General features: G+C 44.9%; 1 protein-coding gene and 1 long non-coding RNA gene across 4 annotated transcripts in view, besides 2 other annotated features; one reads left to right on the top strand and one right to left on the bottom strand.

The window, feature by feature from the left end:
* Nucleotides 1-27,809, top strand: part of XYLT1 (xylosyltransferase 1) — a 369,192-nt gene that overhangs the window by 315,858 nt on the left and 25,525 nt on the right. For all 3 annotated transcript variants that reach the window (XM_047434458.1, NM_022166.4, XM_017023539.3), the window contains 4 exons: nucleotides 13,734-13,950; nucleotides 16,572-16,748; nucleotides 20,368-20,630; nucleotides 27,242-27,437. In XM_047434458.1, coding sequence (XP_047290414.1) covers nucleotides 13,734-13,950; nucleotides 16,572-16,748; nucleotides 20,368-20,630; nucleotides 27,242-27,437 — 853 coding nt within the window. The remainder of the gene's footprint in view (nucleotides 1-13,733; nucleotides 13,951-16,571; nucleotides 16,749-20,367; nucleotides 20,631-27,241; nucleotides 27,438-27,809) is intronic.
* Nucleotides 4,944-5,144: a silencer, noted in NCBI's record as "peak2513 fragment used in MPRA reporter construct". NCBI's record gives its function as "represses an SCP1 promoter by STARR-seq MPRAs in K562 erythroleukemia cells {active_cell/tissue: K562}" and the evidence as "EXISTENCE:reporter gene assay evidence [ECO:0000049][PMID:32103011]".
* On the bottom strand, nucleotides 16,371-20,599 carry LOC102723692 (uncharacterized). Its single transcript, NR_135179.1, has 3 exons — nucleotides 20,553-20,599; nucleotides 17,489-17,587; nucleotides 16,371-16,861 (listed from the first exon to the last, which is right to left on the bottom strand). It is a non-coding gene; the product is annotated as an uncharacterized LOC102723692 (long non-coding RNA).
* Nucleotides 20,290-20,349: an enhancer, noted in NCBI's record as "active region_10502". NCBI's record gives its function as "activates an Ori minimal core promoter by ATAC-STARR-seq in GM12878 lymphoblastoid cells {active_cell/tissue: GM12878}" and the evidence as "EXISTENCE:reporter gene assay evidence [ECO:0000049][PMID:35858748]".

Raw genomic sequence — 27,809 nt, 5'->3', positions numbered from 1 at the left:
TGCACTGGTGACTTTGAGGCAGCTACTCTGCTTCTCTTGACTTCATTTTCTCCCTTTGAAAAACAAGGGGGTTGCATGAGAAAGTCTCCAAATTCCCTTCCCATTCTGGTATTTCATGTGTCCAGACCAGCCCTGGTAAAAGAGGAGGTGACAGAGGCAGAGATCTTGAAAGACAGAGAGATGGGGATGAACAAAGGCAAGCAGTGAAATACAGAATAGGCCACGGGGTGCCTCGGTTTTTAATTCCACGTAGCTCCTAATAGCAATGTTGACCTTCTGTCTTCATCTCCAACCTTTAGCAGCCAATTTGGACTTCTGGCTCCCACTGTGAAGAGATGGCATAAAGGCAAACTAGTATTCTAATAGCTGCCAAATTGGTCCTGATTGTTTCTGTTATTAAATGAAGGGGAGGGTTGTGTTCACTGTTTCTCCTTGCTTTCCTCCAAAAGTAAAGTCACTAGATACATTGCAAGACAGGTAGCACAATTGTCATTTTCCCAGGCAGCCTCAGCAGGGCTTGCAGAAGCAGGTGGCCGCATGTTTACTCTCAGCCTGAATAATCAGGTATTTGGAAACATCCCTACAAGTCCCTGGCCTTGGCTCAGGGAGCATCAGAGAAGTTTTTCAAATCTCTGAAACCTGTTCAAGTCTCAGTGTGTGGGGACAGGCCTCTTCCAGGGAGCTGGAAAGTGAAAATCGGAGTTTTTCTGAGACTTTTCCTTCCCTGGTTGATCTAATTTCTCCACTTCATCCAGGGTCACCAGGGCCCCCATGTTAGCCCTGGGACACAGTGTGTGAAGTGCCAGAGCATAGATGCTGGAGTCCAGCCACCTGGGTCGAAATGCCAGCTCTTCTATACCACAGCCATGGGATGTCAGCAAATGGCTTCGACAGGCCATGCCTCTGTTTCTCCATCTTTATAAAATTCAAATAATGATCATGGTATTGGGGAGATGGAGCATCCTCACTGGCCACAGGAAGGCCCCACGCTGGGCGCATTCCAGGACATTTTCTCATTTCACCTTCATTTAGCAGGTGTTACCCCATTTCAGAAATGAATACAGCTGAGGTTTGAGAGTCGCTTTACCTTACTCAAGGCCCTACAGCTAGTGAACGACAGAGCTGAGATGGAACCTGGTTCCGTCTGACTTTAAGGCCTGTGTTCTTTTATTACTCCATAGTGACTGCATTTGAGAGGACCTGCAGGTTTACGCTCTCGAGGTGTGCAGATGAAAGAAAATCCTGCTGAATGTAAATAGAATTATCTTTTTGCATGGGTGAGGGTAGGTCCTTCCCCTACTTCCTAGGGTCAGCATTTTGCAAAGTGTGTTTATGTGCCACCAGGACATGGGGGATTCTTTTGGGTCCTTTATAAGTGGGCATGCTATGAAAGTTAGGTATTGATCTTATGTGTATCAACAAATTTATAAAATTAGCTGCTCCAACCATGACTTATGGATATTATGCTTCGAATAAGGCTACATTGAAAGAAAACAGTTGAAGCTATTTAAAGTTAGCTTAGAGGCCGGGCACAGTGGCTCACACCTGTAATCCCAGCATCCTGGGAGGCTGATGTAGGAGGATCGCTTAAGGCCAGGAGTTTGAGGCTTGCACCACTGCATTGCAGCCTGGGTGACAAAGCGAGATCATGTCTCTAAAAATAATAAAGTTGGCTTAGAGCAGAATATTAAGGGGCCTCTTGTATAGGATGCTACATAAAGCACATAGCATAGCAGTTAAGAATCCAGGCTCTGGAGCCAGACTGTCAAGATTCACGGGCCAACTCTAATACCCACTCACAGTGTGTGACCTTGGGTAAGTTACGTGAGTTACCTGTGTATCAGTTTTCTCATCTGTAAGATGGGAATGAGGATAATCATACCAATCCCATAGAGTTGTTGCAAGAATTAATATATGGAAAAGCCCTTGGGGACAGTTAGTTGCGCCTATTAAGTTGATGATGATCACAATGGTGGTGGTAGTAGTGGTGATAATGATGGTGTTGTTGATATGAGAAGAATCTTGATGATAATATACACATAATTAAGATGTTACAAAAATGTTCAATAACTCTTATGTTCAATAACTCTCATGTCCACTGGGGACATGGGAGATTCTTTTGGGCCCTTTATAAGTGGGCATGTGATGAAAGTTAGGTATTGACCTTATATGTATCGACAACAATTTATAAAATTAGCCACTCCAACCCATGATTTATGGGTATTATGCTTAAAGTAAGGCAAAGCATAGTAAGAGAAACAGCTATCATTTCAAATATAAGAAAGCCAGGCAGGTAGATTCCAGCCCCAGGTCAGAAGTGGTATAGAGAAGTTTCTCTCTCTTCTCTGGTCTGAACCCCATCTGCCAGAGGCAGCATTCTCCTATTGGAGGCCGGGATGGCATCTGAGCTGCCTCCCTAGCTCCCCTTTTCTGACATTGAACTAATCATCAGACCCAAACCTCCTTTGATGTATAAACAAGCAAATGTTTAAACAAAAGTTGGCAAATCAGTCGAGAGCCTGGCCAGGAACCTCCTCCAGGCAAATCCGCATTCGGGAAGGCCTTTGGTGCCAGCTTGCTTATTGAGAGAAGAGCTCTGTTTCTGGCTAACTTGTAGCTCCATGACTGATGCAAGGAGATCATTAATATCTCATCTCCAATAGGGAAAGCAGATTGCATTTCTCTTTTGCTTTCCTTAAACCCAACCGATGCGTTCATGACTGTTTGCATGTTCACTTTATTTAATCCAATTATAGCAGCCACGTCAAAATAAAGTCTGGCATTATGTAGGCACCCACACAAAACTGCACACACATACCTCCCTGGGCCTCAGCGTGTGTTTTTAGGTCATCTTTAGAACTTTTCTTCTTTCCAAACAATACACAAAGAAGTTAGACAAAAGACTAGAGGGGAAGTACATTCCCAGTGTCATCTCTGAAAGGTAGAGTATGATTTTTATTTTCTTCTTTGCATTTTTTTATGTTCCAAACCATCTATCAAGGCTATGCATTCCTTTTATAATCAGAAAAAAGGCAGTAAACAATGTTTTCAAAAATACATGAAATGTGGAAAACCAATTAGCCCTCAACAGACCTTTAGACGCTTGGCGATGCAAGCTGATTCAGTGACGTGAGCCCTGTGAAGAATGTGAGCCACCAAGCCCAGGTACTCCAGCCTCAGGATTCAGGCCACTGACTCTGCATTTCTACTTGAGCTTCTTTTTCTGCCCTCCTTGGGAAATATAAGAAAGCCAGGCAGGTAGATTCCAGCCCCAGGTCAGAAGTGGTATAGAGAAGTTTCTCTCTCTTCTCTGGCCTGAACCCCATCTGCCAGAGGCAGCATTCTCCTATTGGAGGCCGGGATGGCATCTGAGCTGCCTCCCTAGCTCCCCTTTTCTGACATTGAACTAATCATCATCCTTGAATGTCAAACCTAAGTCAGCTTTCTCCACACAGGGCAGCAATAATAACTGGTACATGTGCCACTGATTATCCTAAGCACCTTACAGATATTCACTCTTTCTACAACAACCCCATGACATAAATGCGATCATCATCGTGCCCATTTTCCAGATGGGGACACTGAGGCTAGAAAGATTAAATAACACACAGCTCATAGGTGGCGAGACAGACTTGAAGCCAAGCAGAGTGACTCCAAAGTTGGGGTTCTTTTTATTTTTCTTTTTGAGACAGAGTCTCGCTCCATCACCCAGGCTGGAGTGCAATCTCAGCTCACTCCAACCTCCACCTGCAAGGTACAAGCGATTCTCGTGTCTCAGTCTCCCAGGTAGCTGGGATTACAGGCATGTGCCACCATGCCTAGCTAATTTTTGTAGTTTCAGTAGAGATGGGGTTTCGCCATGTTGTCCAGGCTGGTCTCAAACTCTTGAGCTCAAGTGATCCGCCTGCCTCGGCCTCCCAAAGTGCTGGGATTACAGGCGTGAGCCACCACGCCCAGCCTGAAGTCAGGGTGCTTAACCACCATGCTGCACTGACTCCCTAAGGGTGCTGACTGCGGAGTTTCCCTCCATATCCAAGCCACGTGGACTTGTGGGTGGTATGTCCCTTCCACCAATCAGATCAAGTCGGCCCCTATGAAGTGAGGTTCTGAAGCTGAGGACTTCCCTGTAGCTTCCTTTGGCAGCCACAGGGCCCTTGCACTTTCAATTTTCTGTCACTCATAAAGGCCTTCCCCATAACTCCTTAGAGGACTGATTCCTTCTCTTTGAGCTTGCATGCCACCTGCTCCTCAGTGAAGCCTTCCCCAATGATCTCCACTAATTAAGTCCCTGTCTCTTTATTTTCTATCATTACCCCCATATTTGTTCCTATATAGCATGTAATTTTATATTTGTGTTTCATATTTCTCGATGTCTACTTACTTATTAGAACCTTGTGGCTAGAGTGTGGAATGCAGAGCCTGACACTAAGGCTTGATTCCCCTCATTGCCACTCACCAGCTGTGTGGGTCTTGGGAAATTTACTTAACCTTTCTGTGTCTCTGTTCCTTCATTTGTAAAATGAGCCCTCATGGGGTTGCAGTGAATTCTAAACAGAAGAATATATATTAAGTGCATAGAACAGAGCCTAGAATGTAGTATACGCTCAATAAATGGTAGCTGTTATTATTTACGCTTTTTGTCTTGCCTAGAAGAGAGAGAAGGGCGGGGTGATGTCCATTTTATTTAAAACCATTTTCTCAGTGCATAGAGCAGAGCCTGGAATATCGAAGGTGCTCTCTAGTGCTGCTAAAGGAATGAATTCCTCAAGCATTCTTGATCTTCCAGCTACTGTAGGATAGAGGAATAACAATTGACTCCAGCTCAGGCCCAGAAGGGGCACAGCCTACCGTGGGCCTGAGAGAAATGGCTAGCAGGGGCCCTGAGGAACTGCCAAACTTCAAAATCAGGGAGCTGAATCCTCGCGAGCTCATCCAGAGCTTGGACAGAATTAGAAGGATGGCCAGGACACTTGTCACCTTCATGCCACAATCATGGCTATTGCACAACTAAAACAAGGACTTCTGTCCTTGGTGCTGAAATATCATTGCTCTGCCAGACTAAAGGATTTCTTCTTAGCTGTGGAGGTGTCCTATGTACCTGTCTACCAAATCCCAGAAGAGAGAATAGGACAGATAGAAATTCACCCTGATAAAGGAAAAAAACATAAAGCATCGTAATGGACATTATGGAGCCCTTACTATGTGCTAAGCCCTCCCTGTATACAATCTCATTTGAATCATCACACCAGCTCTGTGAATTAGCTATTATGATCACCATTTCCCCTGTGAGAAACCAAAGTACCATATGATTAAAGTTGCCTAAGGTTAGTAGAAGACACAAGACTTGGGCCAAGTAATCTGATTCCAGGACTCAAAATCTTGCCACTGCATCCCAATAGAATAATATTTAGCTGTGACTTTGTGCCAGTAGAGAAAAATCTCAGGCAGCTAAACTGCCCTTTCCTGAGAGCCTAGGAAGAGATGTGTGAGCCTGTTCACATAGCTGACTGATTTCATGCATTGTGGGTCTATATGATTTATTCCATGACTTTATTTTTTAACTAAAATCCTTAGGTTGTACTTATGCTGAAGGAGTAATCTAGATTCAATGACAGATTACCAGACAGGAAAACAGAAAAGGGGGAGATTTTATTTTTTCTAGGCATTGTGACTTTGGATGTATCATTTGTACTTTCATTCTCAGGTTGTTTTTTTTTTAATTTGTAGCATTAGCTATATTAGCTGCTTGTGAAGATTCCTTCTTGCTCAGACATGCTGTAAACTTGAAGAGCAGAGTTATTCCTTCTAAAACTTACAGTGGGACAGCTTAATTCTGGAATAATTCCATACTTGATGAATATACCAAGATTGTAGCCAGTGAATTAACTGAATTGAGAAACTTCTTTGTTATCCACCTTTCTGACATTATTTCCAAAAGCCACAGATGTTTTTTTAACTGACTTCTTCTCCCATGGGGGAGAATCAGGACTTCTTCCCACCCTCTGTCTGATTTACTTTGATGCTCAGCTGAGTAGATTTGGTCCCTGGGATGTCCCAATAGGATCATATTTAGCTGTGACTTTTTCCTTAGTGTGCTAATAGGTAAAAATATCAGGAAGGTGAGCTGCCCCTTCCTCATAGCCTAGGAAGTAAAACTGAATGCAAATGATTTCATATTTGACCTCAGGTAGAAGACAGATATCTTCCAGAGGTCTGGCAGAAAGATTCTTCCAAAGCCAACAATAAGCCCTTCTCTTTTGATTCTCTCTCATTTCTGGGCATTGTCTTTTTCAAGCATTAGAAGATCACAGATCCGTTCTTTCTATCTTTTTGGTGGGACTATGGTGAATCAGGGCATCAAAGATGGCAGAGTAGTTAAGAGCTTGCATTGGATCCAGCTAGACCTGCATTTAAATTCAAGACTTCTGGCTGTGTGACCTTGGGAAAGTTACATAACTTTTCTGAGCTTCAATTTTCTTTTCTGTTAAATGTGTGTTAGAAGGATCCAATACCTAGTTAACGAAAGTCTGTGACTGCCTGATTGCCCAACAGGTGTGGCTGTTACCCTTCTTTTTATTCATTTTTTCAGTAAATATTTATTAAGCACCAGTTGTATGGTAGGCACTGATGTAAGCAGTAGGGATACAGCAGTGAACAAAAATAGGCAAAAATCTCTGCCATCTTGCAGCTTACATCTAGTGAGTGGAAATAGACAACAGACTAAATAAATATCTTGTATATTGTGTTAGAAAGTGAAAAGTCCTGTGGAGAAATACAAAGCATGAAAGGAGGATTGAGGATGCCAGGCATGGGGGAGGGATGTCATCCTTAGGTAAGAAGGGATTGATGGTTGAGTCGGTTCATTGCTTGGGTGAACAGCGCTTACTAAACACTTTGCAAGGCCCTGTGAGAAGCATCATCCATCACACTTTGCAGCTGATTCAGGAGGCTGTCAAGACACAGGTGTCATGGGGCTTATCTTACAGATGAGGAAACTGGCATTCAGAGAGGTTAAGCCAGCCCCACATCTCATAGCCTGTGAATGCAGAGGCAGGATTAGTACCTAGATCACCCAATGTCTGTTTGCTGTAGTGTCACCTGTTGCCCCAGTTGCCCCAGGTAACCTACTCAATGGGAAATGAAAAGGAAGAGCGTATCATTGGTCACCTTTTGTATATGGGGCTTATTGCTACAGATCTGTGCTTCACGCCTCAGGTGAGAGAGCCATGCGCCCCTTGTTGGTGAGCCATATTTTATAAAAAGTCACTCAGGTGTTCACTGACTTACCTTGCCTTCCAATTTTACCTTTTCAAGTTATGGTAAAGAAAGGGAAGAAAAAATGCAAATCCCTGCCCAAACAGCTGATGCCTCTCCCCTGGTAGATACCCTGTTGCTGGGCCTCTGCCACCATCTCCTAGTCCAAGACTTAAGTCCCCATTCACCCCTGTGACTCCAGAAACTTTTCTGAGACCTAGGGAATTGGTTGTCTCCATTTACTCTTAGTTAACCAAAGCATGCGTTTGCAGCATATCAGTTTTTGAATGTGATAAATACAGCAACCCATCTCCCAATCCCATGAATATTTCATTTTGGAGATGACTGCATAAATATTGTATTTGAATATTATGGTCCGGGACATCACATTAAAATTGCAAGACGATGCTATTATCCCATATAATGGAACATGAAATTAAAAACTGGAAAGAAAAATTTTGCTAGTCCTCTCACCTGTATTTCTTCTCTGTCTGTCTCTCATGGTTAGTCTGGTAACCATGTAAGTTTGAATACAAATTATCTAAAATTGAAAGTTTCAAGCATGGTTAAGTGCATCGACTGGACATTTTTGTATAATTAGCACTAGCCAGAGTCAAGGCAGGGTTTTATTTTCCTAAACTCAGGGGCTTCCTTTGATGACCCAGTTAGAGCTCAGTTACATTTCAGTGGGTTAATACTGTATTACAAAAAATCTTCGCTGAGTTCCTTCCCAGCAAGAACATGACTTTGCTAATGAGCTTGGATTATCTGTCTTCCATTGTCTGTCTGACCCCTATAGGGATTTAACTTCACAACCCAGACCTAGCCCAATTTTGTATTTTACCAAGGGGGAAACTGAGACACAGAGAGGACTGCTCTGTAGCAAGAACATGGCTTTGCTAATGAGCTCAGATTTTGCATGTGGAAAGATGTGTTAGAGAAAGAGCAAGACCCGTGACATAGGACAGCTGGGTCTTTTGATTGGTTCTACCCTTGTGTTGAGTCCTCTGTGTGTCCTTAGAAAAGTTGCCAGTCTTCTCTGGGCTCCCGTGTATCCATATGAGATGTATTGCTTGCCCCATGCCCTTTTCCTGAGTATAACAATGTGACTTATAGAATGTCAAAGCTGGAGAGTACCTTGGGAATTACCTAACCCAGGATTATTGTGACTGGACCGATGGCTTATGGGCTGGATTCATCCTAGAGAGATGTTTTATTCAACCAGAAATGCTTTTTTATTTTAAAGGAGTGGAAGTGCATTTCAGAATGTGTGTTCTTCACTTCTCTGCTAATTTCATCAGTCCTTGTTTTTTCGTATTCAGGCTGCTTCACACGCTTCCATTATCTGTCTGACCGCCCTGTAGGGATCTAACTTTACAACCCATATCTAGACCAACTTTGTATTTTACCAAGAAAGAAACTGAGACTCAGAGAGGACTCCTTAACATTTTGAAGTCACCCAGCTGGTGACAGGTAAAACCACACTGCCCCACAGATGAAAAGCACATTTCAGCCGAATTAAGTCTGTTCCCTGCCAGCGTTACCGTCATCGCCATTTCATTACACCATCATCCATTTTGTGATGACTTAGGTGTACTATGTCATTATCTTCCATAGTAGCCAATGTCTAGAGGTGGGTTTTCTGCTCATGCAGAAAAGAAATGCTAAGAATGTAGGTTTACTAATGAGGTTTCAAGTAATTCCCCTGAGTGAATGTCAGTGGATTTGTGGGAAGCCCGGTGAGAGGGAATTCTTTCTGGAATTCAGCGTGACTACCAGGGCAGGACCATCTTCAGCTTCCAAACCCTGAAGTCTCCTCATCACAGTAGACTTTTCTTGAGCAGCTGACCTGCACTGTCCTAGGACCTGGAAGGGAGGCACAAAGTCCAGAGCCAAAGTGTGTTGTAGTGAGAATAAAGGCTACCTGCGAGGAGACAGGTAACTCCAGTCTGAAGACAGAGTAACGAGGTCTGTTGCAGAAATGCAGACAGCTCTAGAACTCTGAGCAGACTGGCTCAGTGGAAGAGGAAGCATTTTTGTGCCACAGCCCTGGCTACCTGCCCTGTCTGGAGCCTAAGAACCTCCCCACACATCATGGTTGTGATTAAGTTGAAATCATTCAGGCATGTATTAGGACTTTTTCAAATGCAAGTGAGGAATCTCATCTCAAAAATGCCTTAAGCACATAACACACAAGTCTGGGAGAGGGTCAGGCACAGTGAGATCCAGAATCTCAAGTGAACCCATCAAGCGCTTGGCACTGTGTCTTTCTGTCTCCTATTTCCAGTTTGCTCCATTGTCAGACAACCTCTATATTCATGGTGATGAGATGGCTACCAGCAGCCCTAGGCTGACATCCTCCCTGCCAGAAATCTCATAGAAAAGCCCCTCCTTCTCACTAACTCCAGCAACAATCCAAGACCTAGTCTCAGACCCAGCTTGCATTGCTGGCCCATCCCTGAATTGATTATGGAGGCCAGACAGATGGGATGCTCTGATCCATCCTGGGTCATGTTCCCACCCCCTGGTGCTAGGGTGAGGATACAGACCCAAGTAAACTGAGATTTAAGGATGAGTCCAAAGTAAAGCAAAATGTGGTTCCCAGAAAAATCATAAATGGATGCTGAGCAGGCAAAAACAAGGCATGGAGCACCGATACCTGCTGCAGCATGGATGAACCTGGAAAACATTATGCGAAGCAAAAGATGCAGACACAAAAGGCCATATATTGTATGACTGCCTTTATATGAAATATCTAGAATTGGTAAATCCATAGAGGCAGAAGACAGACTGATGGTTATCAGGGGCTAGCATGAATGGGGAGTGGCTGTGTAATGTGTATGGGGTTTTCTTTTGGGGGCTGATGAAATGTTTTGAAGCCAGGCAGAGGTGACAGTTGGACAACATTGTTAATGAACTAATTCCACTAAACTGTACACCTTAAATGCTTAATTTTAAACCACTGCTGTTACAGCAGAGCCCCTGATCCCCCTCCAGTCTGCATGGAGCCTGCATGGAGTAGGCACTCGGTGCTGCCTGTAGCAATCCACACAGCGCCTTTGTGGAAAATAGAAAAGGCAGCTCTTCCTCGAGACACTTAGATCCCCTTCATCATAAAATCATTTCTTGGTCTCTTGTTATTTTACATTGTGTGGATGTTATCTTTATTAAAAATGTATGACCTTTTCAATCTGTGTCATCTGCCCAGAGCAATCTCCCAATTAAGCCAAACTGGTCTGCTCCCCAGATCTCTGATGAGTCTGTTTTCTGTCTAGAATGTCCATTTTTCTCTCCTCCCTGCACCCCTCCTAGTCTGACTCAAGCCCTGCCTCATCCATGACGCCATCCCTGACCACCAACCAAGTCCACAGCATGCTGGCTTTTCACCCTTGCCCTAGTCCCCATTTTTCCAGAAGTTCCTCGAAACTCATTTAACCTATGGTTATATGTGCCTGTATCATATTTGCCCAGTCAGACTATGAGTTCCTAGAAGATAAAGCCTGTCGTTTATAGTGTTTCCTGTCTTTCACTGTACCCACCACAAGGCTGGGGTTGTGGTAGGTGCTGGACATGTATTTGCCTATTGATGGATTCAGTATCTATCCATTCTGTGAATACTCGCTAAGCACTTACTGTGTGCCAGGCACAGAGTGATGAGCAAAAACAAGAACAACCCTAGCTCACATGAAGCTTGTAGTCTACTGGAAAGGGTAGACAGTAATCACAGAATCACAGAAATGTGCTATGGCAAGTTGCTGAGTTCATACACCTGTAAATATGGGTTAATAAAAGTACTGTCTCTGGGGTTTTCATGAGAATTAAAGTAGATAATCCATATAAAGCCCTTGTAATGATAATGCTCATATGTTTTCATTGCCATGGTGATGGTGGTAGTGATAATGGGGATGAAGATGGTGGTGATACTGAAATTGGTGACGATGATGGTGATGATGACGATGGTGGTGATGACAGTGGTGATAATGGAAATTGTGATGATGATGGTGATGATGACGATGGTGGTGATGACAGTGGTGATAATGGAAATTGTGATGATGATGGTGATGATGACGATGGTGGTGATGACAGTGGTGATAATGGAAATTGTGATGATGGTAATGGCAATGATGGTGGAAGAAATTACAGTGTTGTAAGACTGTAAGGACTGAGAGAGTAGCTTTTGGTCTGCAATCTGATCGATGAAGTGAAGTTCACTCAGGGAACACTGAAGGGGAGAGGAAGAAGACAATCATTCCCAGCACATACGGAGTCCATGACCAAAGGCACATGTGTAGGGAAACTGTGGTGGTGTGGAGAAGCATTCATACAATAGAGTTATTCATAAGGGCTTGAAAAATCCAGAGTCCTGGTCGTGTGTAAGGGCCAGCAGCCTGAAGGAGCAGAAAGGTCCCTGAGTTCAACTCTAGACTGTAAGCTCCCATCTAGATAACTAGCTCCTTAGGAGCAGAGCTCGTCCTTACTTCTCCTTGACCTGTACCATGGGCCAGCACAGTACCTGGCACGTAATACGTGAAAATGGTGATAGTGGTGCTGATAATGAAGATGGAGATGATGATGATGGTGGCAGTGACAGTGATGATAATGAAAATGGTGATGATGGTAATGGCAATGATGGTTATGTGTGCAATGAATGCTAATTGCTAATGGACTGAGCGTTTGGCCCAAAAGCCTTGGTTCTAGCTCTGTCCACCCTCCCAACATGCCCACGTCACCAGCTCTGGGACCTGAACAGCTTTGGTTTCTGCATCTACAAAATAGGAAATGCCAACTCTGCCCAGCCTGCCTTGCAAAATTCTAAACAAGATGATTATATGTATATAGTTACTACAGTAGGAGTTATTAATCTAGGGTTCATGGGAAAAATTCAGGGGAGGTTCGTGATTTTGGATGAGAAGAAAATGATATCTTTTTTAATGGAATTCTAACTGAAATCTAGCTAAAGGTAGGTAACAAATCACAGTAGTATTAGCAGTAACTAACTGACTCGGTCACCAGTAGGAATCATCTATTTTCCTGTCACATTATAGTTGGTGCAGATACCTCTAAATATCATTTATGCTCACCACTACTTCAAAATTTCAGGAGTTAGGCCAGGCGCAATGGCTTACACCTATAACCCCAGCACTCTGTGAGGCCAAGGTGGGTGGATCACCTGAGGTCAGGAGTTCAAGGCCAGCCTGGCCAACATGGTGAAACCCCATCTCTACTAAAAATACAAAAAAAAAAAAAATTAGCTGGGTGAGGTGGTGTGTGCCTGTAATCCCAGCTACTCAGGAGGCTGAGGCAGGAGAATCACTTGAACCCAGGAAGCGGAGGTTACTGTGAGCCAAGATCATGCCACTGCACTCCAGCCTGAGCTACCGAGTGAGACCCTGTCTCAAAAAAAAAAAAAAAAAAAATTACAGGATTTAATAGACCTGCCATGATATCTTGTTATTTAATGTATTAATAAAGAAACACACGTAGTACCATACATTCAGTGTTTTAAAATGTATTTTGTAATCCAGGCCCCATGCAGTAGCTCACACCTATAATCCCAGCACTTTGAGAGGCCAAGGTGGGAGGATTGCTTGAGGCCAGGAGTTTTACGCCAGCCTAAGCAACATCGTGAGACCCTGTCTCTACAAAAAAATTTAAGCAGCAGCCAGACATGGCGGTGCATGCCTGTAATCCCAGTGCTTTGGGAGCCTGAAGCCAGAAGTTCAAGACCAGTCTAGGCAACATAGTAAGATCCCATCTCTACAAAAATAATTTTAAAAATCAGCCAAACATGGTGATGCATGCCTGTAGTCCTAGCTACTCAGGAGCTGGAGGCAGGAGGGTCACAGGAGCCCAGGAGTTTGAGGCTGCGGGGAGCTAGGATCACACTAGTGCTCTCCAGCCTAGGCAACGGAACACGACCCTGTCTCAAAAAATAAAAATTTTAAAAATGTTGTAATCCTGTATATAATGTGTGAGTCAAGAAGCACAGGCATTACTTTATATCAGAACTTTGGTGGATTTTTATTTTTCGCTGTTTCATAACCCTGTATATTTTGTTGTATGCATTGAAGAGTACTATTCTGAGACAAGGGTCCATGGTCTGCATTCACTAAACTGCCAAGACCTCTATGGCATAAGGAGGTTGTTGCCAAAGTTCTCTAGAGAAGGAGTAGCTGTAGCAGATGATCACTGTCATCTGACTGTGCTGGGTAAGTCCCCTGGGCTCTCTAAGCCTCAGTGCCCTCATATGAAAGTTGGGGGTCAAATAGTACCTGCGTCATAGGGGTAAATACGGTGACATGCCTCACTTGTGGGGATCAAGTGATAAACTCCACGCAGAGCCCTGGAGCAGTACCTGGCACACAGCAGGCACTCAATAATTGCCATCATCGCTATGATTGTGTTGTTTTATTTGGACTCTGGCTGGAGTTCTGTCTTTCAGGACACCTCTGGGCTAAGGGCAGCTTTCTCCCTCCCAGGTTCATTCGGAAGCAGGGCCTGGATCGGCTCTTCCTGGAGTGCGACGCTCACATGTGGCGCCTGGGAGATCGGCGGATCCCAGAGGGCATTGCCGTGGATGGCGGTTCGGACTGGTTCCTGCTGAACCGGAGGTTTGTAGAATATGTGACCTTCTCCACAGACGATCTGGTGACCAAGATGAAACAGTTCTACTCCTACACCCTGCTTCCTGCTGAGGTGAGTATCTGGGAAAATTTTCCCAAGAAAGATAGGGGCTTGTTCTAGCCTTTGTGGCAAAGCAGATGCTGAATTTTTGGCAAAGAGATTCTGGGTCCACCTACATTGTCCTCTACACACCCAGACATCCTTGCTGTCTTAGCAGGATGCCTGGTCTCCCTCCAGTCTGCACAGAGGCTGCGTGGAGTAGACACACGGTGCTACCACCGGCAGTCCACACAGTGTCTTTGTGCAAAATAGAAAAGGCAGCTCTTCCTCAAGATACTTGGCTTTCATTGGTCATAAAAATCACATGATACACAGATTTTGTTAGAACAAGAACCTTATGGCTATTTTCCAGAAAACTGTTATTTAAAAAACCCTTCTGACATCCACAATGCTGATGGCACCCCTAAAAGGTATGTAGTGTGTAACCTGCACAACTGTATATGCTGACCCTTTCAGGACACACCCACATCAACTTTTTTTTTTTTTTTTTTTTTTTTTTTTTTTTTGAGACAGTCTTCCTCTGTCATCCAGGCTGGACTGCAGTGGCACAGTCTCTGCTCACTGCAACCTCTACCTCCAGAGTTCAAGCAATTCTGCTGCCTCAGCCTCCTGAGTAGCTGGGATTATAGGCGCCCACCACCACACCCAGCTAATTTTTGTATTTTTAGTAGAGATGGGGTTTTGCCATGTTGGCCAGGCTGGTCTTGAACTCCTGGCCTCAAGTGGTCCTCCTGCCTCAGCCTCTCAAAGTGCTGGGATTGCAGGCATGAGCCACCATGCCCGGCCGCCACATCAACTTTTGACGCATCCTTCACAATGACCAATCATGTAATGACCACCTTTTTACACCAAGCATGCCTTTTCTCATGTTGAACATTGCTCTATTATTCCCTGAAGAAAAGGGTGTTGGTTTCATAAGTCATACTCCATTAATCCAGAGTATTCTAAAACAGTCCTAGCCCCATCTAGAAGTGGGGAGGGGATCCAGTTCTGAAGGATTGTCACTGACATTCCCTTAGCTGCCTGCCGGTCAGAGCTGGGTTGAGGGATTCCAGATTCATCTTCCTGACCTCCAGGTTGATTGCACCCTCATTTCCAATCCAGCTTGAGAACAGTGCAGAGCTGGTTCCGTTTCTATTGAGTCTATGGCATTTCTCATGAACGGTCCCTTGTTCCTTCCCGGGACCACATAGGTTATGTGTGTTTCTGCAGGCCACACTCCCAGCACATCTCTCACCTGTGTCTGGGGCAGTGCCAAGCTCCGGGGAGGGCTGACTGCCCCCATCACCCAGAGGGATGATGAGCTTGTCATCACTGGGCCAGGTTTTACTATTCTGCACACATGTTAAGTAATCAGCTTTTAATCCTATTTCAGCAAAAATCAATCACCTCTTCTCTCAATTCTGATAACCTCCTCATCCATTATATTGCAGGGAATTTCTGTATCATTATGAAAGGACACAGGGCAATCAGTAATTGGGTACATCTTCCCACTGCTTGTTGGAGAATGTATGCCTCCCTGGGCTTGTAGGCAATTCAAGCTTAAAATCCAGGTTCATGGGCTTGTCATTTAGTGTCACAGGAAGGTCAGCAGGGGGTGGCGGCTGGAGCCTCATTTACCCACCCATCCATTTAGAAGAGATTGTTTGGGAGTTTGGCTATTTTTAATCAAGACGCCCACCACGATACTGGTGACCAAAGCTCCGTGTGTGTGCTTTCTCTGCCCCTCCCTGGCCCCAGCACACACAAGCACATATACTCCAGGGTCTCTGTTCAGTCCCACCTCCTGCATCTCTGCCTTCCCTCCCTTCTCCCAGACCACTTCAAGAGGACTGGTTTAGAAGAAATCAGAAGGCTGTGCCCATTAACTTGTAACGGGCAGACACAGATTCCCCAACAGCTTCCCTTAGGGAGAGAGAACAGGGAGGAAATATATTTGCCTGGGACTGTCTATTATAGAAATCTTTCTCTCACTCTCTGGCAGTCTCTCAAGTACTCCAGTGATTGATTGTTTCTCCTCTAGTTTTTCTTTTCAGATCCAACATGGCCTCTTTCTCAGATCCCTTAAAGCAGTTGGCCAAGAATCCTGGGATTAGGGAGAAAATATGGCACCTGGTTCAGTACCATGGACAGCAAGCAGCCCCACCCACTCCCTTCCCTATGTTGCCGTCTGGCGATGCAGGAAGCCCTGGGTCTAATGCAACCATCAATCTGGTCTCCCTACCCCAGGGGTGAAATTCCAGCACACCAGTCAGTCAGTCAGACTTGAATCCCTTTGATTTGTCTGTTGGACAGAGCATCCGCCTGCGCTCTGAGTTGGACCACATGGGCAGCTGACCTCAAATGCATGCAGAGAACATAAGAGTCCCTTGACAGTCAGGTAGTTGTGTTATACATTTTTGCATTGCTATGAAGGAAAATCTGAGGCTTGGTAATTTATAAAGAAAAGAGGTTTATTTGGCTTGCAGTTCTGCAAGCTGTACAGGAAGCCGCCCAGCTTCTGATGAGATGCCACATTCTTTTAAACAACCAGTTCTTACATGAACTCAGAGCAAGGGTTCACCATTTCCCACCCCAGTTCATCTGTGGGAGGCTGGGAGAGGTCTCAGGCTGGGTCCCTCTCTCCCCTGCAGTCCTTCTTCCATACGGTCCTGGAGAACAGCCCCCACTGCGACACCATGGTGGACAACAACCTGCGCATCACCAACTGGAATCGCAAGCTGGGCTGCAAGTGCCAGTACAAGCACATCGTGGACTGGTGCGGCTGCTCCCCCAATGACTTCAAGCCGCAGGACTTCCACCGCTTCCAGGTGAGACTTTCTCATGGTCTGCCAGCCTCCTAAGTGATGCCTTCCCAACAAACCTCTGCAGAAATCCAAGGCCAGACCTGCAGGTCATCTTATCACATGGTGCCCAAACCTGGCTGTTGATAATTAATAATAGTTAACAGTATCAACAATAGCCAGTGTTTATTGAGCACTTACTTCAGGGATGTTCTAACCACATTGACTCATTAACCCAAAAACAACAAATGACCTTTCATTATTATTCCATTTTAGGGATATGAAAACTGTGAGGCACAGAAAGGTTAAAAAAAACTTTCCAAAGGCCATACTCATATCATCTTCTCTTTATTCCCTTTTCATCAGAATCTCCCAAAATATTTGTTACATTTGTACCCAGGAATATGCTTTTAAGTATATATCTAGGGCTGAGCTTTTCAACCTCAGAACTCTTGCCATTGTGGCTGGATGATTCTCTGTTGGGACATGCTGTCCCATGCATGGGTAGGATGCTTAGCAGCACCTCTGGTTGAGAAACCCTCATCAGTGATATCGACGAATTTGTATTTTTAATGAATTGCACTTTTCTGAGGAGCAGCCAGGTTTGGAAACCACTGTGTTCTGTGGGAAAACACTGTGTTCTGTGTACTTGAAGGAGTAAGAAGAGGTAGAACATTATCCCCTTTACAGCTGTCTCTGGGCAGCCTAACAATTTACAGTTCTGGGGAAGGGCAGAGCAGGAGGGTGGGGAATGCTCATCCACTTACCATGAGCCCTGAGAGTGCTTGGCCCCAAGATGGGCACCCCTTCCTGCTCTGCTCCCTCCAAGCCAGCATGGTGGCTTCTTCCTCCAGCCCTCCCCACACCTAGCAGCAGAGAGCACAAATATGAGTGCCACTGAATGGTTAAGCGAATCACTCTGAGGTCACTAGAGCCACCGTGTAGAGACGGTATGCTACTTCCCAAACCACTAACACAGGAAGGCAGGGACACAATGCCAGGCTCATAACCCAGCCAAGGTGCCCTTGATGTGGAGCGGGATGCTGTTTGTTTGTGTTTGATCTCCTCTGTGCCGGGCTGTGTGGGCATTGGCTTTACTGGGGCAGACATCACTTTTATTGTTCAGGTAAGGAAACGAAGGCATGGAGGGGTGTTCCAAGTGGGGTTTTTTTCCAGCAGTCCCTGCTGCCTTCCTGGTTTTTGTGCCTGTATGAATGCAGAGTACACTGCAGGTTTTCTGTCGTTCGTATTCCCCTTAAGGTTCCCACACAGCAGCTCCAGCCACCTTAAGCTGGCAGACAGGGGGCTGCCTAAACTCACATCTTCCCTGCAGAAAGGATATGCTGAGCCGAAAGAGGGTTGCAGGGGAATGTTTGTTTGACCTATTCAATGAATTCCCATGTTTGGAGAGGACCCGTCCCTCACTGCCCTAATCGCAGAGAATCTTCATCACTTAGAGCACAAAACCTCCACGTGCTGATTCCCAGAGCCCTGCACTCCCCCAGGCACAAGCATTTGTATCCTAGCCCGGCATCCTGGGGACATTGTAGCCTCTGACAAGGAGTGCCTCATGTGTTCACAGCAAGCAGAGATTAAGAATATCCCCCAAGATCTAGAGTCAAGACACTGCTGCCTGTAAGGAACTCAGAGTTCTTGCGCGAAGAACTTGGAGAGAAAGAATAATATGGTAACGTGCCCTGTTTGTTAGAAGATCCAGCTATGGTCGGAATCGCAGGCAGAGAAAGGAGTTTGTTCTGCCCCTAGATGGGTTCCTGGTAACAAGGGGCTGGTGATAATAATCAAAGAGCAGCCTACACTATGTGCTAGACACTATGCTAGTAACCCATTTTAAGGATGCTGAGGCCCAGAGAGTTTGAGTAACTTGACCTGCACAGCTAGACGGTAGCCAAATGAGGATTTGAATTCAGGTGGTCTAACTCTCTACAGTGCTAAGCTGTGCTCCCCACCACAGAGAGGTTTCCTGAAGCAGACTGGCAATGAGATGTTTAGAATAACACCAAGGGTACTTACGATCAGGGGGCTTCCCAGTTTACTCAGTTGCCTCAGTCCTGGAGTGATACAGTAGAAAGGGCTTGGATTTTGGAGTCATGCATTTGGGCTTCAAATCTTACAATGGTGTGAGTCTGTACATATCGCTTTGCCTCTCTGAGCTCAGTTTTCTCATCTGTAAAATGGGAATCATAATACCTGCCTTGCCAAGTTACAGGGAAAATTAGAGGTAATGACATAAGTCCATTGCCCTGCGTATTGTGTGTGGTCAGTAGTTGTTGCTGCTATTAATCTACCACCATGAAAACAGTGCTGGACCCAACTTTAGGTCAATAATAACACTAGACAATAATAAGCTCCTCAAGGGAGAGACCTGTGTTTTATTTGTCTCCGCAGCCCTACACAAGGGGTCAGCAAACTCTAGCCCTGGGGGCCAAAGTCAGCCCACTGCCTGCTTCTATAAATGAAGTTTAGTTGGAACACAGCCATACCTATTTATTTAGTCTCTTGTCTGTCTGTGGCTGCTTTTATGCTATAAAAGCGAAGCTGAAGGTTTCAAAGCTATTTTAAATATTTACTGTCTGGCCTTTTACTGAATATAAAGTATAACACCTGGTAGCTTACAGGTGCTTAGTATTTCTTTAACCCTGGACCCTGACTCTTCGTCCCATCTCTGATAGTGACTTGCTGTGTGTTCTCAGCTAAGTCCCTTACCATCTCTGGGCCTGTTGCCTTGAGAGTTTGGTTGCTATCAGTGGTCCTGAAACACTGAATCATAATCACCTGGGAATTTTTTTTTTTTTTTTTTGAGCTACACTCCAGAGCTATTGACTCAGTAGGTCCTTTTTCTCTGAGACAGAGTCTTGTTCTGTCACCCAGGCTGGAGTGCAGCGGCAGTCTCGGCTCACTGCAACCTCCACCTCCTAGGTTCAAGTGATTCTCCTGTCTCAGCCTCCTGAGCAGCTGGGACTACAGGTGTGTGCCTGGCCTGGAATCTGAATTTTTCAAAGTCCCAGAGATTCCGATCCCTTGTGAGTCTGCAAGTTGGCTGAAATACCAAAGAGGCAATAGGGCATGGTGGAGACTGCAGTGAGCAGAAGAACCTAGGTGCTGTCTAAAGGAACAGCCACCACCCTTCAGCTTTAACCAGTTGTTACCATGTGGAGTGTGGGCCTGGGGTTGCCAGATCTATTGCTGTTTAAAGAGAAGCCAAAAGAATTTCCGTGAACTCTTTCATGTTTTAAATATGGCTAGCTAAAATACATCTGCAGGCTGTATTTATTTGCCCTAGATTACTAGCCTGTGACCTGTACCTAAATGATGTCTGAGATCCATCCCAGCTATTACCATCTAAAATTATTTAGTTTATTTAACAGACATCTAAATGATGCTTACTAAGAAATGATGCTTACTAAGTGCCTATCATTGCTTTAGATGTTCTGCACAGATTAACTCACACCCTTATTATAACCCATTTTACAGATGTTGAAACTGAGAACACAGAGGTGCAAAAAGTATCGGAGCTAATTCGGGTCCAGCAGAGCTTTGCTTCTAACCACAGGATATGCCCTTAGGTTCCCCCCAACCCCCAGCACTCGCTGATGTGGCTTTTCTATTTTTAATCCCATGAGTACAGCAGACAGCCCGGCCTACCTTCTTTGCCCGCAAGTTTGAAGCCGTGGTGAATCAGGAAATCATTGGGCAGCTGGACTATTACCTGTACGGGAACTACCCTGCAGGTACCCCGGGCCTGCGCTCCTACTGGGAGAATGTCTACGATGAGCCTGACGGCATCCACAGCCTGAGCGACGTGACACTCACCTTGTACCACTCCTTTGCCCGCCTGGGTCTTCGACGGGCCGAGACGTCCCTGCACACGGATGGGGAGAACAGCTGCCGGTGAGCCCTATATGGGATGCAGAGAGGAGAGCTGAGAAGCAGGAGGGGAGGCTCAGGGTACAGAGTGGGGGTCCTTCTTCCTCTTTAGGGATCTGCAATGCAATGCCACCCTATGCTTTCTCTCTTCCTTTGCCCAAAACTCATCTAACGCCACCCTCCTAGCGTGCGTGGCATTTCCAATCCAAGCTGTGCTTTACTTTCTCAGATACCAGATATCCTATGTACCCAATGATTTTACTCATTCTTCATGCTACATATATATACTTTAGAAGGAAGCTTTTTGTCACCATATCATATGTAGCATTTGTCTTAAGTGGAAGGTACAAAACTTTTTTTGATGGAAAATGTCAAAGATGTACAACATAGAACAGTGGAACCCCATGTTCCCGTCACCCAGCCCCGGCAGTTTCCAACTCGGGGCTGATCTTGTTTCATTTTCATCTTCACCCACCTTCCGCCTCCTCCCGGATCAGTTTGAAGTCAATCCCAGACATCCTATCATTTCAGCCATCAATATTTTAATAATGTATCTCTGAAAAATAACTCTTTTAAAAACATTCACCATAATGTCATCACACCTAAAAATATCACAAAGAAAATTAATAGGCAGAACTATTGTTGAAACTTCTCAACCACCCCTTACAATTGTCTCATCTACCACTAACTGCCAACACTTCAGGAAAGAGTGTTCTAGAAGATGAGGGGGAGGTAGGAAAATAATTCAACATAATCCCTTCTCCTCTCATCTCTTTCCCTAAGCCAGTCAAGACTTTCACGTTGTGTACCCTTTCTTTTGTTCTGAAGCAATATGCATTTTGGATATTTACATAATTGCAACAAGAATTGGGTATCCTGTTTTCTTCCCTTGGCATTATACTATTAGCCCCCATTTCTCCACGCTGCTCAGTAGCTTCCGCAATGATAATGATTCCTTTTAATGCCTCTAGTATTCCATTGAGCAGAAGTTCCAGAGTTTGCTTAATCTGGCCCTTCACTGTTGCCATTGTCAGTAATGTACCCTTGTAAATAATGTTCTGATGAATATCTTTTCTCAGAAAGCCCTTTTTTTCCATTCTCTCTTTTGATTATTTCCTTAGGATAGATTCCCAGAAGTGCCTCTAATCACTCTCCTTCTTTTTCTTGTTCATTTAACAACATAGCATCTTTTTTTTTTAGCGTCAGTCTCTGACGGGGCTGGGGGGAAGAAGATTGTTCACTAACTCTCTGAAAACACAGGCAGGTTTCCCACCTGGTGTCTCATCCCTGGCCAGCAAGGTTTCCGCAGGGCTGTGACACTGTCCCATCACCTCCTCACATCCCTCGGCTTCTCTCTCCGTAAAGTTTCTGATTTAGTTTAAAGGGAGACTAGTGTGGGTTAGGAACCCAGGACCTGCAGTTTAAACTCTGCTTACAAGCTATTGACCTTGGGCAAGTCATTCATCTCTCTGAGCTTCGGTTTCCTCATCTGTGAAATGAGAAGAGTAATACTCATCATTTTTGTATCATAAGGTGTTGTGAAGTGTAAAGGAGATAATCATCAAAAACTACCTGATGAGTTAGTTATACAGTGCTCTTTTGAGACAGAGTCTTACTCTGTTGCCCAAGCTGGAGTGCAGTGATGTGATCTCTGCAACCTCCACCTCCCAGGTTCAAGCGATTCTTCTGCCTCAGCCTCCTGAGTAGCTGAGACTATAGGCATGTACCAGCACACCCAGCTAATTTTTGTATTTTTAGTAGAGACAGGATTTCACCAGGTTGGCCAGGCTGGTCTCGAACTCCTGACCTCAGGCAATCCTCCCGCTTCAGCCTCCCTAAGTGCTGAGATTACAGGCATGAGCCATTGCGCCCAGCCTTGTTATTCCCATTTTAACAGCATTTTATGTACTAACTGCTCAGGGTTCAGGTCATTGCTGGTATCTTAGTTGCCAGTTGCCATGTACTAACTGCTCAGGGTTCAGGTCATTGCTGGTATCTTAGTTGCCAGTTGCCATTATGATGCAGCCAACAGTGAACCTGCTGTGTGTGATGGTAACAATTCCTTGTTCTCTCCCTGTATTTTCTTTGCTCACTGCCTCCCACTGCACAGCCACCCCTTCTCAAGTCAACAAAGCCATCCAAGGACCACCTCCTCTATGACACTTATTAAGATAGCTCACCCCACACCCACCGTCTCCCAAGCTGAAAGTAGTTCAGGGACTTCACCTTCAGTATGTGCGGTATCTTGGCTCAAGGTCACCAGGGAGTCTCTCTCCCCCCCACTGCTAGTCTGGAAGCAGAATCCCTGCATGTATCCCCAGTAGACAGTGCAGTGCCTGCCACTTGGAAGGCAAATGTCGTTCCATAATAATTACAGTTGCAGGCTTCCTAGAATGTATAAGGTAAATGATCTTACAGGAAATTCCAAAAGACACCCCCAATTTATCTAGGGTTGTTGAAGGTTGCTCCCTAGTATTCATTTTGGAATGAAGTGAGCCGTCACGTTGCCTCGAGCCAGGAATCCTCTGGTATCCACCTCGTTTTTTATTGTAATGGAACTGTGGTGCCTTGCTGTGGGCAAAGCCAATGTATTTATGAATAGGAGCCTGAAAATAAATCAGGACAAAAGACCCTTATCCCAAAAGGCAGAAGAGAATGGATTCCTAGCCCCGGGGCATGTGGGGAAACAGCAAGTGAAAACTTTAACAGTCTCATTTTATCTGGGTATTTTAGGCAAATTGTGCCTTTCCAGTCTATAATATAACCTTTCATTAAATAATGTTTATTGATTTTTTTTTCTCATTATAAACTAACACATATGCATTGCAGAAGTTTCTGAAATGGCAGGTTGAGAGAATCAGAGTAAAGTTTGCATATAATCTACCATCCAGAAATAAGGATGTCAGCATTTTATTGCAGGTCCCCAAATGCCCTCCGGGGCAGGCACGAAGCACTAGAATCACTCAGTGTGCCCCCTGCAGGGTGGGCTGACCATGGGAACCTGGAGGTCCATGGAGCTGAACCCCAGTACATTCCGTGGGAATGCAGATGGAGTTGCCAACCAAATCTCCTAATTTTTTTTAGTGCTCATCGTATTTAAATAAGAAAGAAAAACAGCTTTGGGCCAAACGAATACTTCGGTTGCATTCCTGTAGATGATGATTGGTTGTGCGGCATCTTGATTATTTTTCTGTTTTGAGACATTAACAGTTTTCATTACTTAGATACCAAATACAGTCAGGATGAGGCATCAGAGGGCTTTTGTGCTCACTCCTTGGTTACAGGGACTGTAGATGTAACTTGAGGTTCAAGAGAAAATCCTTCTAGAATTTTCACTCCTTCAATAAGTACTGATTGAGTAGCTATCGTGTGTCAGCCTGTGTGTTAGGCACGGAGAATTCAGCCTTGATCCAGGCGGACCAGGCCTGTGAACTCAAAGCCCTCCCATTCTAGTGTGCAGACAGACAGTACCTAAGCACAAGTAAACCAGAATATAAGATCAATAAGGGTAAATGCTGTGCAAAAAATGAAGATAAAGTCATGTGAGAGTGACAAGTCAGAGGCAGCAATGAGGAAGGAAGTGGTGGATTAGGGTAGCAGGAAACAAAAGGGGGCTAGAGAAAGCGGTAGGGCTTTGTGGACCAGGTAAGGAGTTTGGATTTTACTGAAAGCATGAAGCAAAGTGCTTGTGGCATTTAAGTGAGGGACGATGGACGTGGCTACTATGGGAACAGGTTATAGTGGGCAAAAGTAAGAGAGGGTGACAATTAAGGAAGCTCCTGCAGAGGCCCAGGTATAAAAGGATGGTGGCTTTGACCGGGATTCTGGCAGTGTGTAAGGAGAATAGAGGATGGAAGGGGCCAGGTGTGATGGCTGACACCTGTAATCCCAGCTACTCGGGAGGCTGAGTCAGGGAGAACTGCTTGAACCCGGGAGGCAGAGGTTGCAGTGAGCCAGTTTCACGACACTGCACTCTAGCCTGGGTGACAGAGACTCCATCTCAAAAAATATAAAGAAGGTGAAGGGAGGCAAGTAATCAAAGATTGACTTCTAAATTTTTTGGACTGCTGCTTTCTGGAAACACTCTCTTCCTTTGACTCCCGTAACAGCAAATTCTCCTGCTTTACCCACCTCACAGAACACACACTGGCAGTGCTTTGTCTATTGTCACGATAACACTGTGAAACAAACAACTCCCAAATCAGTGTTTTGAAACAATATGCATTCATGTAATGCTCAAGTTCGCAGATCAGCTGGACAGTTTTCCCAGTATGGGCAGGCCTTGCTCCCCTATCTGCAGCCAACTGCAAGTCGGGAGGTGGCTCTGTGGTCCTTGGCTGGGAATAGTTGCCTGAGCCTAGGATGGCTTCAGCTGGGACAACTGGCGTAGCTCTGCTGTTTCAAATGTCTCCTTCTCCAGCAAGCTAGCCCAGGCATGCTCTCATGGTGACCTCAAAAGAGCAAGAAAGCAAACAGAAATGTGCAAGGCATCTTGAGGCCCTGGCTCAGAACTGACGTGACAGCCCTTCTACCACTTTCTGTTGTCCAAAGAAGATTCCAGAGGTAGAAAAATAGGTTCTGCCTCCCGGGTACAAGGAAACTTGCAAAGTCACATGGAAGAAAGCATAAGATAAAGGAGATGGGAGATTTGGGACATTAATGCAGGTGACCACTGGCTCTTTCATGACTATCTTTGCTGTCCAATACGGTAGCCACAAGTGGCTACTTCAGTGTAAATTAACTAAAACTAAATACAATTTAAAATTCAGTTCCTCAGTCACATTGGCCATATTTCAAGGGCTGAACAGTCACACTTTGCTAGTGGGTTGGGAGACAGCTTTCCCAAAGTCTCACAAATCATCACTAAAGAACTTACTCATGCAACCAAACACCACCTGTTCCCCAAAATCCTATGGAAATAAAAAGCTTTTGGCCTGGCGCAGTGGCTGACACCTGTAATCCCAGCACTTTGGGAGGCCGAGGCGGGCGGATCACTTGAGGTCAGGAGTGAGTTTGAGACCAGCCTGGCCAACATGGTGAAACCCCGTCTCTACTAAAAATACAAAAATTAGCCGGGCATGGTGGCTGATGCCTGTAATCCCAGCTACTCAGGAGGCTGAGTCAGGAGAATCGCTTGAACCCAGGAGGCGGAGGTTGCAGTGAGCCAAGATCATGCCACTGCACTCCAGCCTGGGCAACAGAGTGAGACTCTGCCTCAAAAATAAATAAATAAAATATTTCTGTCATCGCAGGAGGTTTTATGTGATAGCCCTGCCTAGATGTTGCTGCAGTGGTAGAATGACAGCACAGTCGCTGGACTTTCCACTCCCAAAGTCCAGATTTAAAACAGGTTTGCATGAACGGTGAATGCCCAACAAACCATCTGAAGACTGTTCAAGTTTTTTTTTTTTTTTTTTTTTTTTTCTATGCTCCCTGGAAGGCATCCCAGTAACAAGGCAATGATTTCAGGAGATGTGTGAACACAGGAAGGCAGCTTCCCTAACTGTTATAATTGGACATAAAGACTTAAAACTCCAGATCAGGACCAGAGGGAAGGCTGCGTTTAGCTGAGCAGGGACAATGATTTGTGAAATGCTATTATGAAGGACCCACAAGCGCCTTATAAAGCTGTGCAATTTACACATTGCAGAAGCGGCAGCTATTTATCTGACAAGTAGGAAATATACCAAACTGGTCTCCTCCGAGGTACTCCTTTTTTGCCATCTGCTTCCCCCTTTTCTCCGGACATCTCTGCTTCACTTCCCTGCCCTTTTCAGCCAGCAAGTTTTTGTGGATCAAAGACGTGCATTTTAAAACAACAAACCACTTTTGCATGTATGTGCATGTGTGTTTATCTCAGATTGGCAATCATGGTTAAAGATGATAACCAGTGTAAGTGGTAAGGACTGTGAGAGAATAAATCAGTACTTCTGAAACAGTTAAGCTGCAGACACGAAGAGCCTCAGACATTTAAACAGAGAGAGAGACGAATGAAAGGTTTTGCTCAAAGATGTTGAATGCAGCATTGTTTAGAGAAGCAAAAAATTAGAGTTATCATCCAATGCTAGAGAACTTGCTCTATCAAATCTGGTATTAACTATGATGAAACACACCGAGCATCAACACATACAAAATCGTGTCTTCAGAGACTTTTCAAAGATGTGATAATCCTCAGGAAATACTATACAATGAAGACAGAATAATAGCTAGGATAGATAGATGCCAACTATGTAGTATTTATGCAAATAGTATTTATGCAAATAGATGCATAGGAAATAAGGCCGAAGGGAAATCCATCAATATGAGTGTTCACACACCATTTTCACTGCCCGGTACCAAGCACCAGAGGACTCAATATCTGTGAATGGACATTATGTATGGGAAGAGGCATGGAAAGTAGTCATTTCACTTTCTTTGTTGTACTTTCCTACAGTCAGCATGTTTTTCATTCATAATCAGCAGAAGAAAAAAGTATTCATAGTCATTGAGATCATAGATACAGAGGACGCAAGGAAAACAGTAGGCATTGTGCACAATGGGGACTGCTTTAGGAACAAAACTAGCTTGGTGGGTGGGGAGCCTCACTGTGATCCTACACACCTTGGGCCCTAATGCATGAGCGCCTGTGTTTTCAGATACTACCCAATGGGCCACCCAGCATCTGTGCACCTCTACTTCCTTGCTGACCGCTTCCAGGGCTTTCTGATCAAGCATCATGCTACCAATCTGGCTGTGAGCAAACTAGAGACTCTGGAGACCTGGGTGATGCCGAAAAAAGTCTTCAAGATCGCAAGCCCACCCAGTGACTTTGGGAGGCTTCAGTTTTCCGAGGTAAGAGGCCAGGTCTTGTCACATTTCATTGTATTTTGCATTTCCCTCGGCCAGATTCTACTCCACTATCTGACACTTCTAGTTGGAGATGGAGGAGAAGAGGACTTGGAGATCCCTAAAGATAAGCTAACCCTGTGCCCGAAGAAGGTTCTCCGGCCCCAGTCACTGGCACCAGCATCTTAAACAGGGGAGGATCAAACCAACTGGAACACAGTTGTATTTTTTAGGGTAGAATTTCTGCTCCTCTGAATTTTTCCAGTGATGACTCCTAAACCAATGTCAGTAATATTAGTCCCATTTTACCGAATGGAGAACTGAGGCTTATAGAGATCCAAAGATTTTCTGGATTGCTAGGAAGTGGGAGAGCTCAAA

The sequence above is a fragment of the Homo sapiens genome, chromosome 16 (assembly GCF_000001405.40).
Source record: "Homo sapiens chromosome 16, GRCh38.p14 Primary Assembly".
Taxonomy (NCBI): Eukaryota; Metazoa; Chordata; class Mammalia; order Primates; family Hominidae; genus Homo; species Homo sapiens.
Note: the sequence above shows the minus strand (reverse complement) of the source record. Positions and strands in the feature narration are given on the sequence as shown.